Below are 12,625 nucleotides of genomic sequence, written 5' to 3'. Positions count from 1 at the left end.
TGTCAATGCATTCCCATTCTAAGTAACCTCATATCCACTTTGAAATATCATTATTTTGGGAATCAGAAGGTATTATCATTTTTGTTTCAGTCATCACATATGATTTAGAAAAGTCATGAGGAAAATCATAATCAATTGTACTTATTGATATGTTTGCTCTTTCTGTTGCTGTTTCTCTCTTCCTGATACTCTAAGATTCCTTCATTTAACGTTTCTCTTCTGTCTGAATGACTTTATACAGCCAATATTTAAGGATAGTTTCCTAGGAACAAATTCTTTCAGTTTTCCTTTCTGAAGCAGGCTATTTGCCCCTCATTACTGAAGAATCATTTTGGTAGATACAGAATTCACACTTAACATTTTTTTTCTTTCAGCACTTGAAATATATTATGCCACTCCTTTCTGGGCTCCATGGCTTCAGATGAGAAATAGGATGTTAACCAAATGGTATTCTTTCATAGGTAATATGTCATTTCTTTCTTGCTTTCAACCCTTTTCTCTTTGCCTTTAGTTTTCAGATGTTTCATTATGATGTACCTTGGCATCAATTTCTTTGGGTTTATCCTATTTGGGGCTTGTTCGGGTTTTTACATCTGTGGGTTTATGTCTTTCATAAAACTTGGGAAGTTTTTGCACATATTTATTTAAATACTCTTTTAACCCTGCTCTCCCTCTTCTTTGAGACTCCAATGACACAAATATTGGATATTTTATCATTCTTCCACAGATTCTTGGGGACATGCTCATCTTGTTTCAGTCTATTTTCTATTTTCAGGTTGAGGGGATTCTATACATCCACAAGTAAACTGATTCTATCCAATCCCTAGCACTGAGCCCATCCAGTGAGTATTTTTGTTGTTATTGTATTTGTCAGTTCTATAATTTCCATCTGATTCTTACTTAAAACTTCTATTTCTTTAATGTGATTTTCTATTTTGTTTTTCATTTGTTTCAAGGGAATGTATAACTGAACGATATTCGTGATAATTGTTTAAAGATCATTGACAGATAATTCTAACATTTGATTCATCCTCGTGTTGGTGTCAGTTGATTGTCTTTTCTCATTCACGTGATTCTCTTGAATCACAAATTACGGTACGACAGGTAATTTTATTTTCTTTTTCTTTTTATTTTTTATTTTTTTTATTTTTTTAAGATGGAGTTTTGCTCTGTTGCCCAGGCTGGAGCGCAGTGGCACTATCTTGGCTCACTGCAACCTCCACCTCCTGGGTTCAAGCAATTCTCCTGCCTCAGCCTCCCAAGTAGCTGGAATTATAGGTGCGTGCCACCACACCCAGCTAATTTTTGTATTTTAGTAGAGACAGGGTTTCACCACATTGGCCAGGCTGGTCTCAAACTCCTGACCTCAAGTGATCTGCTTGCCTTGGCCTCCCAAAGTGCTGGGATTACAGATGTGAGCCACCGCACCCAGCCAGGACAGGTAATTTTCTATTATATCTTGGATATCTTGGTTTTTATGCTAGGGGAGATCTATATCTTATTCAAATTTTTAATTTTAGTAGGCAATCACTCTGTTTAGGTTTAGCATGCATATTCTTGCCTACTGTTGTGGGCTGTAGTTTAAATGACAATCTCGTTTTCAGAGTTTTTACAGTATTGTCTTGGTCTTCTCAACTAAATCTCCAGCAGCTAGGGTCCCCGATGATCCCTGCTGGTGCCACGTGAAGGAAAGAAGGGACTTCACCAGGCAAGGAGATGTGGTGCGTATAGGTGAAAGGGAGTCTCTTGCCTGGGATAAAGAGTGCTTCCTGAACCAGGCAATTTTTTGTTGTGATTGGCTCCCCTGCTTGGAGAGGTGGAGGAAAGGAAAGTGCTTCATAGCAAAGTGTTTGTTGTGGCAGGATCCCCTTTATTGGTGCGATCCAGTCTCAAGATGTCTTTAGATGAGAGAGAAGAATCTTAGGTTAATAGGGCAGGGGGGCAGGTCTGGGAGGTAGAGTGGTGTAAACAGTCTTCCCAGGCTGAATGCTTATTACAGTAGAATTCTACTTGCAGGGACCTTCTGGCCATAGAGTGTCTCTGATGGAGGAAGGGAACCTCAGGCCAGGCATGCAAGGAGAACACTTTGAGGAATGCAGTCACTCACTGTGGTATCATCCTATTTGTTGGTACTCCCAGCTGTGAGTTGTCTCCGGGTAGGGGAGTAGAATTTTAGATCCATCTTATTTCTTTTTTAAAAAAATATTTTTTTTTATAGAGATGGGGTCTTGCTATCTTAAACTCCTGGCCTCAAACGATCCTCCCACCTCGGCCTCCCAAAGTGCTGGGATTACAGGTGTAAGCCACTGCACCTAGCCTCTATCTTATCTCCCAAACTCAATTCTAGATAGCTCAAAGATGTAAATGTAAAATTTAAGCTACAAAAATATTAGTACAACTGCCAGACATAAACCTGAAAAGGTGATTCAACCATTTTAACAGTAGTCAGTGGCACAGTAGGGTCAAGAAAATATTTTATAGAATGCAATCTAAGGAATATGTTATACAAATATCTCAAGGTAAATGAAGTTCCATTCTCATACTAAGTTAGAAATAGAAAGCTTTATGGTTGGAGATTGTGTTAACCTCTACAACTTTCTTTTTTTTAACTTTTAATTTTTACAATTTTTTAATTGAGATGAGGTTTCACCATGTTGCTCAGGCTGTTCTCAAACTCCTGGGCTCAAATGATCCTCCCACCTTGGGCCCCCAAAGTGCTGGAATTATAGGCATGAGCCACTGTGCCTTGCCTCCTCTACAACGTTCTTTTCCCTGAGTTATGCTTTGATACAATGCTTTTATTAAGGCCTCTATTAAAAAACTACCACATGGAAGAACTTCTACTTGTACTGTAAAATTATTGTTGAGAATACTATATAAAGTTTAATGCTCCCTAGAAAAAGGTTCCATATGATGAATTCCTTTTAGAATTTAGTAACAGGAAAAAGTCTGATTCTTTGTAACCTATCAGATGATACAACATATGCTGCTTGTGTCTCCCTTATGTCTTGGTGATTAGAAGCTCAGAGCTAAATTATTATTACTATTATTATTATTTTTTGAGACAGAGTCTCACTCTGTCACCCAGGCTGGAATGCAGTGGCACAATCATGACTCACTGCAGGCTTGACCTCCCCATGCTCAAGTAATCCTCCCAGCTTAGCCTCCCAAGTAGCTGGGACTACAGGCATACACCACCACACCCAGCTAATTTTGCATTTTTTTGTAGAGATGGGGTTTTACCATGTTGCCCAGGCTGCTCTCAAACTCCTGAGCTCAAGTGATCCATCTGCCTTGTCCTCCCAAAGTACTGGGATTATAGGTGTGCACCACCATACCCAGCAATTTAATGTGTTAATGATTAGCAAATTTGCCTTCCCTTCCCCTTCAATATCTTGATTTTCTGTACCAATATTTTATTGTATTCATGTATATAAAGACATCATAATTCAAATCCATTTGGAAGCAGGCATGATGTAAAAAAAAATAAAATTCAAGACCCGTTGTATCGCCAAGGGTTCTGGACTTGTCTTTTTTATTGTTTGTATAGGAGCTACTAATCGATTAGAGAATGAATACTCTACTGGGCTTAGAAGGGAACACTGAAATTGGACAGCTATGTGAAAATTTTAAGAAGGCAAAGTGTAGAAGCAAATATGCTTTAGTGACCAGGGTCTCACTGCAGCCACAATTACTACAACATTGATAACCCACACTGCAGCTAGAAAAAAAATGGAGATTTAAGTTTTCTTACTTACAAAAGGACTGTATGTACTTCCCCAAAAATACCTCCCTTCTGAGAAGTAAGCAGCAATTCAGAAAAAGTTGCCTGCTTATTCTGCTTACTATATTTCCTCATTTCCCTATGGAATTGGTGACATCTTAAATATCTACAGTCTGGCCATACATAAAAAATTTTGACAGGAAGATGCTGTGAGGAATTGAATTTGAGTCATCACAATTGCCAAAAAGAAGAAAACTCCAGTTACATATATCTAAAGAGTCATTTTTTTTACCCTGAATAGTAATTTAAAATGATACAAGGGGAGGTTCCAAGATGGCTGAATAGGAACAGCTCCAGTCTACAGCTCCCACCATGAGCCACGCAGAAGATGGGTGATTTCTGCATTTCCAACTGAGGTACTGGGTTCGTCTCACTGGGGCTTGTTAGACAGTGGGTGCAGCCCACAGAGTGTGAGCTGAAGCAGGGCAGGGCATTGCCTCACCCGGGAAGTGCGAGGGGTCGGGGAATTCCCTTTCCTAGCAAAGGGCAGCTGTGACAGACAGTACCTGGAAAATCGTGACACTCCCACCCCTAATACTGTGCTTTTCCAATGGTCTTAGCAAACGGCACACCAGGTGATTATATCCCGCACCTGGCTCGGAGGGTCCCATGCCCACGGAGCCTCATTCACTGCTAGCACAGCAGTCTGAGATCAAACTGCAAGGCAGCAGTGAGGCTGAGGTAGGGGCGTCCACCATTGCTGAGACTTGAGTAGGTAAACAAAACAAAGCAGCCTGGAAGCTTGAACCAGGTGGAGCCCACCGCAGCTCAAGGAGGCCTGCCTGCATCTGTAGACTCCACCTCTGGGGGCAGGGCATAGCTGAACAAAAGGCAGCAGAAACTTCTGCAGACTTCAACGTCCCTGCTGACAGCTTTGAAGACAGCAGTGGTTCTCCCAGCACAGACTTTGAGATCTGAGAACGGACAGACTTCCTCCTCAAGTGGGTCCCTGACCCCCGAATAGCCTAACTGGGAGACACCTCCCAGTAGGGGCTGACTGACACCTCATACAGCCAAGTGCCCCTCTGAGACGAAGCTTCCAGAGGAAGGACCAGGCAGCAACATTTGCCCTTCTGCAATATTTGCTACTCTGCAGCCTCCGCTGGTGATACCCAGGAAAACAGGGTCTGGAGTGCACCTCCAGCAAACTCCAACAGACTGCAGCTGAGGGTCCTGACTGTTAGAAGGAAAACTAACAAACAGAAAGGACATCCACACCAAAACCCCATCTGTACGTCACCATTATCAAAGACCAAAGGTAGATAAAACCTTTATCTACCTTTTGGGATAAAAGATGGGGAGAAACCAGAGCAGAAAAGCTGAAAATTCCAAAAATCAGAGTGCCTCTTCTCCTCCAAAGGAATGCAGCTCCTCGCCAGCAATGGAATAAAGCTGGACAGAGAACGACTTTGACGAATAGAGAGAAGAAGGCTTCAGACAATTGGTGATAACAAACTTCTCCAAGCTAAAGGAGGATGTTCGAACCCATCGCAAAGAAGCTAAAAACCTTGAAAAAAGATTAAACAAATGGCTAACTAGAATAAACAGCATAGAGAAGACCTTAAATGACCTGATGGAGCTGAAAACCGTGGCACGAGAACTACGTGATGCTTCCACAAGCTTCAGTAGCCAATTAGATCAAGTGGAAGAAAGGGTTTCAGTGATTGAAGATCAAATGAATGAAATGAAGTGAGAAGAGAAGTTTAGAGTAAAAAGAGTAAAAAGAAATGAACAAAGCCTCCAGGAATACGGGACAATGTGAAAAGACCAAATCTACGTTTGATTGGTGTATCTGAAAGTGACAGAGAGAATGGAAACAAGTTGGAAAACACTCTTCAGGATATTATCCAGGAGAACTTCCCCAACCTAGCAAGGCAGGCCAACATTCAAATTCAGGAAATACAGAGAATACCACAAAGATACTCCTGGAGAAGAGCAACTCCAAGACACATAATTGTCAGATTCACCAATGTTGAAATGAAGGAAAAAATGTTAAAGGAAGCCAGAGAGAAAGGTCGGGTTACCCACAAAGCGAAGCCCATCAGACTAACAGCAGATCTCTCGGCAGAAACTCTACAAGCCAGAAGAGCATGGGGGCCAATATTCAACATTCTTAAAGAAAATAATTTGCAACACAGAATTTCATATCCAGCCACACTAAGCTTCATAAGTGAAGGAGAAATAAAATCCTTTACAGACAAGCAAATGCTGAGAGATTTTGTCACCACCAGGCCTGCCTTACAAGAGCTCCTGAAGGAAGCACTAAACATGGAAAGGAACAGCCGGTACCAGCCACTACAAAAACATGCCAAATTGTAAAGACCATTGATGCTAGGAAGAAACTACATAAACTAACGAGCAAAATAACCAGCTAACATCATAATGACAGGATCAAATTAACACATAACAATATTAACCTTAAATGTAAATAAGCTAAATGCTCCAATTAAAAGACACAGACTGGCAAATTGGATAAAGAGTCAAGACCCATCAGTGCACTGTATTCAGGAGACACATCTCACATGCAGAGACACACATAGGCTCAAAATAAAGGGATGGAGGAAGATCTACCACGCAAATGGAAAACAAAAAAAAAGCAGGGGTTGCAATCCTAGTCCCTGACAAAACAGACTTTAAACCAACAAAGATCAAAAGAGACAAGGAAGGCCATTACATAATGGAAAGGGATCAATTCAGCAAGAAGACCTAACTATCCTAAATATATATGCACCCAGTACAGGAGTACCCAGATTCATAAAGCAAGTCCTTAGAGACATACAAAGAGACTTAGACTCCCAAACAATAATAATGGGAGACTTTAACACCCCACTGTCAATATTAGACAGATCAATGAGACAGAAGGTTAACAAGGATATACAGGACATGAACTCAGCTCTGCACCAAGTGGACCTAATAAACATCTACAGAACTCTCCACCCCAAATCAACAGAATATACATCCTTCTCAGAACCACATCACACTTATTCCAAAATTGACCACATAGTTAGAAGTAAAGCACTCCTCAGCAAATATAAAAGAATAGAAATCACAACAAACTGTCTCTCAGAACACAGTGCAATCAAATTAGAACTCAGGACTAAGAAACTCACTCAAAACGCACAACTACATGGAAACTGAACAACCTGCTCCTGAATGACTACTGGGTAAATAACAAAATGAAGGCAGAAATAAAGATGTCCTTTGAAACCAATGAGAACAAAGACACAACATACCAGAATCTCTGGGACACATTTAAAGCAGTGTGTAGAGGGAAATTTACAGCACTAAATGCCCACAAGAGAAAGCAGGAAAGATCTAAAATCGACACCGTAACATCACCAGTCAAAGAACTAAAGAAGCAAGAGCAAACAAATTCAAAAGCTAGCAGAAGGCAAGAAATAACTAAGATCAGAGGAGAACTGAAGGAGATAGAGACACAAAAAACCCTTCAAAAAAATCAATGAATCTAGGAGCTGGTTTTTTGAAAAGATCAACAAAATTGATAGACCACTAGCAAGACTAATAAAGAAAAAAAGAGAGAAGAATCAAATAGATACAATAACAAATGATAAACGGGATAGCACCACTGATCCCACAGAAATACAAACTACCATCAGAGAATACTATAAACACCTCTATGCAAATAAACTAGAAAATCGAGAAGAAATGGATAAATTCCTGGACACATACACCCTCCCAAGAATAAACAAGGAAGAAATTGAATCCCTGAATAGACCAATACAGGCTCTGAAATTGAGGCAATAATTAATAGCCTACCAATCAAAAAAAGGCCAGGACCAGACGGATTCACAGCTGAATTCTACCAGAGGTAGAAAGAGGGGCTGGTATCATTCCTTCTGAAACTATTCCAATCGATAGAAAAAGAGGGAATCCTGCCTAACTCATTTGATGAGGCCAGCATCATCCTGATATGAAAGCCTGGCAGAGACAACAAAGAAAGAGAATTTTAGACCAGTATCCCTGGTGAACACCGATGTGAAAATCCTCAATAAAATACTGGCAAATTGAATCCAGCAGCACATCAAAAAGCTTATCCACCATGATCAAGTCGGCTTCATCCTTGGGATACAAGGCTGGTTCAACATATGCCAATCAATAAACATAATCCATCACATAAACAGAACGAATGACAAAAACCACACAATTATCTCAATAGATGCAGAAAAGGCCTTCGACAAAAATCAACAGCCCTTCATGCTAAAAACTCTCAATAAACTAGGTATTGATGGAACGTATCTCAAAATAATAAGAGCTATTTATGACAAACCCACAGCCAATATCATACTGAATGGGCAAAAACTGGAAGCATTCCCTTTGAAAACTGGCACAAGACAGGGATGCCCTCTTTCACCACTCCTATTCAACATAGTGTTGGGGAGCTCTGGCCAGGGCAATCAGGCAGGAGAAAGAAACAAAGGGTATTCAATTGGGAAAAGAGGAAGTCAAATTGTCCCTGTTTGCAGATGACATGATTGTATATTTAGAAAACCCCATTGTCTCAGCCCCAAATCTCCTTAAGCTGATAAGCAACTTCAGCAAAGTCTCAGGATACAAAATCAATGTGCAAAAATCACAAGCATTCCTATACACCAATAACAAACAAACAGAGAGCCAAATCATGAGTGAACTCCCATTCACAATTGCTTCAAAGAGAATAAAATACCTAGGAATCCAACTTACAAGGGATGTGAAGGACCTCTTCAAGCAGAAATACAAACCACTGCTCAAAAAAATAAAAGAGGACACAAACAAATGGAAGAACATTCCATGCTCATGGATAGGAAGAGTCAATATCGTGAAAATGGCCATACTGTCCAAGGTAATTTATAGATTCAATGCCATCTCCATCAAGCTATCAATGGCTTTCTTCAGAGAATTGGAAAAAAACTACTTTAAAGTCATACAGACACAAAAAACAGCCCGCATTGCCAAGACAATCCTAAGCCAAAAGAACAAAGCCGGAGGCATCACGCTACCTGACTTGAAACTATACTGCAAGGCTACAGTAATCAAAACACCATAGTACTGGTACCAAAACACATATATAGACCAATGGAACATAACAGAGGCTTCAGAAATCACACCACACATCTACAATCATCTGATCTTTGACAAACCTGACAAAAACAAGCAACGGGGAAAGGATTCCCTGTTTAATATATGGTGCTGGGAAAACTGGCTAGCCGTATGTAGAAAGCTGAAACTGGATACTTTCCTTACACCTTATATAAAAATTAATTCAAGATGGATTAAAGACTTAAATGTTAGACCTAAAACCATAAAAACGCTAGAAGAAAACCTAGGCAATACCATTCAGGACATAGGCATGGGCAAGGACTTCATGACTAAAACATCAAAAGCAATGGCAACAGAAGCCAAAATAGACAAATGGGATATGATTGAACTAAAGAGCTTCTGCACAGCAAAAGAAACTACCATCAGAGTGAACAGGCAACCTACAGAATGGGAGAAAATTTTTGCAATTTACCCATTTTACAAAGGGCTAATATCCAGAATCTATGAAGAACTTACACAAATTTACAAGAAAAAAACAAACGACTCCATCAAAAAGTGGGCAAAGGATATGAACAGACACTTCTCAAAAGAAGACATTTATGCAGCCAACAGACACATGAAAAAATGCTCATCATCACTGGTCATCAGAGAAATGCAAATCAAAACCACAATGAGATACCATCTCACACCAGTTAGAATGGCGATCATTAAAAAGGCAGGAAACAACAGGTGCTAGAGAGATGTGGAGAAATAGGAACACTTTTACACTGTTGATGGGACTGTAAATTAGTTCAACCATTGCGGAAGACTGTGTGGCGATTCCTCAAGGATCTAGAACTAGAAATACCATTTGACCCAGCCATCCCATTACTGGGTATATACCCGAAGGATTATAAATCATGCTGCTATAAAGACACATGCACACGTATGTTTATTGTGGCACTATTCACAATAGCAAAGACTTGGAACCAACCCAAATGTCCAACAATGATAGACTGGATTAAGAAAATGTGGCACATATACACCATGGAATACTATGCAGCCATAAAAAAGGATGTGTTCACGTCCTTTGTAGGGACATGGATGAAGCTGGAAACCATCATTCTGAGCAAACTACTGCAAGGACAGAAAACCAAACACCACATGTTCTCACTCATAGGTGGGAATTGAACAATGAGAACACTTGGACACAGGGTGTCCATCACACACCGGGGCCTGTCATGGGGTTGGGGGAGAGGGGAGGGATAGCATTCGGAGATATACCTAATGTAAATGATGAGTTAATGGGTGCAGCACACCAACATGCCACATGTATACATATGTAACAAACCTGCACGTTGTGTACATGTACCCTAGAACTTAAAGTATAATAAAATAAATAAAATGATACAAATTCTCTTATATGGATATTGCTTACATAAAACTAAAAATCATAAGCTACATCATTACCCAGAAAAATGCGTAATTACAAAAAATATTATGCTCTTGGTAAACATTTATAATTAGTACCACTGTTAATTAAAATGAAAAAATTCATTTAGCATTTTTTTTTCTTTTTTTTTTTTTTGAGATGGAGTCTCACCGTCACCCAGGCTGGAGTGCAGTGGCGCAATCTCAGCTCACTGCAACCTCTGCCTCCTGGGTTCAAGTGATTCTTCTACCTCAGCCTCCCGAGTAGGTGGGACCACAGGCACATGCCATCATGCCCAGCTAATTTTTGTATTTTTAGCAGAGATGCGGTTTCACCATGTTGGCCAGGCTGGTGTTGAACTACTGACCTCATGATCCGCCTGCCTCGGCCTCCTAAAGTGCTGGGATTACAGGTGTGAGCCACCATGCCTGGCCTTAACATTTCTTAATTATCTCTTATAAAGGGATGTTACATATACTTAGATTTTACCTCTTTCGATATCATCTATTGGAGATGCTGGGGACATCTTATCTTCAGATGGAGAATGTTTTACAAGATTGGGAGTCCTGGCTGAATTCCACATTTGTTGTTGCTGTTGTTCTTTACGATACTGAATTTTACTGCTTCCTTCAACTCTGCAATTAAGAATATCAAATATTGAAACAGGTATGACAGCAATGTAACAAAAATTTAACTTACAAAGTTACTAAAACTGACCACTTATTCTTTTCCTAAACATCTTTAGAATAATATTCCATAATTAAAACATTAATTTAGTTCATTATTTAACAAGTATTTATCAAGTTCTATTTCTGTGATACACATGTCCATTGAGGGATACAAACAAGAACAAAAACAAAACCAGTGCCAGGCTTGGCGCCTCATGCCTGTAATCCCAGCATATTGGGAGGCTGAAGTGGGAGGATTACTTGAGGCCAGGAATTCAAGACCAGCCTTGTCAACATAACGAGACCCTGTCTGTATAAAAATAATAAAAATATTAGCTGGGCATGATGATGCACACCTGTAATCTCAGCTATTTAGGAGGCTGTGGGAGGATCATTTGAGCCCAGGAGTTAGAAGCTGCAGTAAGCTATGATTGCGCCACTGCACTCCAGCCTGGGTGACAGAGTGAGACCCTGTCTCATAAAACAAAAACAAAAATCCAGGCTGGTGCAGTGGCTCATGCCTATAATCCCAGCACTTTCGGAGGCTGAGGAAGGAAGATGGTTTGAGGCCAGGAGTTCAAGACCAGCCTGGGCAATATAACGAGACCCTCCATCTCTATTTAAAAATAAATAAAACAACAACCAAAAAAAAAAAAAAGCCATTGCTTAAATTGAACAGATAAGATATTCACAAATGACTAAAATAAAAGGAAAAATATAAGTGTATAACAGGTACGATATATTCCGTAAGTTCTAAGATTATCATTTCTGTTAAAACTAAATCACTTCTAAAGTTTCCATTCATAACTTAAGACAGGCATGATAATAAAGGAGATTCATATACTTTTCTTTCAATATCTTTAAGAAGAGTGTAGTATAATAAAAGTATGCTTGATTTTTGCCTCTCCCATTTCCAGTCACCAAATCCTGTCAGTTCTTCCTTCAAAAAGTCTTTAGAACCTCACTTTCTCTTCATTCCTGCCCTCAAAAATCCTGGTTTATACATTTTTCTGATTCCTACATTGTTTCATTTACTCAGTTTCTCTACTGAATTAATGTTTTAAAACAAAACTGTAAACATGCCAATCCCTGGTTAAAAAGACTTTAATATGTAACGACTACCAGCAAGATAATGTCCTAATTTCTTAGTTAATATTGATGGCACTAACCTCAACCAACAAAATTACAACCTTACCTCTAGCCCAATATCAACATCGCCCCCTACTTTCCAAAACGTATACACAGGTACAGAGACAAACCTCTGCTCCGTTCAAGTAGGTCTTACTCATTGGCCCTGAATAAATCAGATATCAAACTTGTCTTACATTCTCATCTCCTCTCTAATCAATTAAATCGGTATTGCACAAACTTTCTTCTGGTGTGAATCACAGCAGGGCATGGATGGTAGGGGTGAGGGGATATTAAAAAATAGAGTTTCCCAGGATCCTTCCCTGATTTAAGGTTGGATTCGGGAACTAATTTTTAACAAGCACCCAAGGTAATTCTTATGATCCTAACCTCCTCTTAAGGTACATCAAAAAGGCCTCCCTGAATTTTCCAATCTACCATTACTTCTCCTTTTTCTTAATTCCTAGAGCAATTTTTGTCTATACTATTTGCATGGCTTTTAGAGCAAACATCCTTATATTACAGGGTAAGTAATGTGTTACCTATTTCCAAAAAGGATTTGAGATGGGTATATTCTCCTATTGACTTTTTAAATGG

The 12,625-nt window shown here is 39.6% G+C and overlaps 1 protein-coding gene across 7 annotated transcripts in view; it reads right to left on the bottom strand.

The window, feature by feature from the left end:
• EAF2 (ELL associated factor 2) overlaps positions 1-12,625 on the bottom strand; it is a 51,318-nt gene that overhangs the window by 18,649 nt on the left and 20,044 nt on the right. For all 7 annotated transcript variants that reach the window (XM_047448576.1, XM_017006861.2, XM_047448577.1 and 4 more), the window contains one exon: positions 10,722-10,867. In XM_047448576.1, the coding sequence (XP_047304532.1) occupies positions 10,722-10,867 (146 nt within the window). The remainder of the gene's footprint in view (positions 1-10,721; positions 10,868-12,625) is intronic.

Source organism: Homo sapiens, chromosome 3 (assembly GCF_000001405.40).
Source record: "Homo sapiens chromosome 3, GRCh38.p14 Primary Assembly".
NCBI classification, from domain to species: Eukaryota; Metazoa; Chordata; class Mammalia; order Primates; family Hominidae; genus Homo; species Homo sapiens.
The sequence above is the reverse complement of the archived record's forward strand: the minus strand, read 5'-3'. Positions and strand labels throughout refer to the sequence as shown.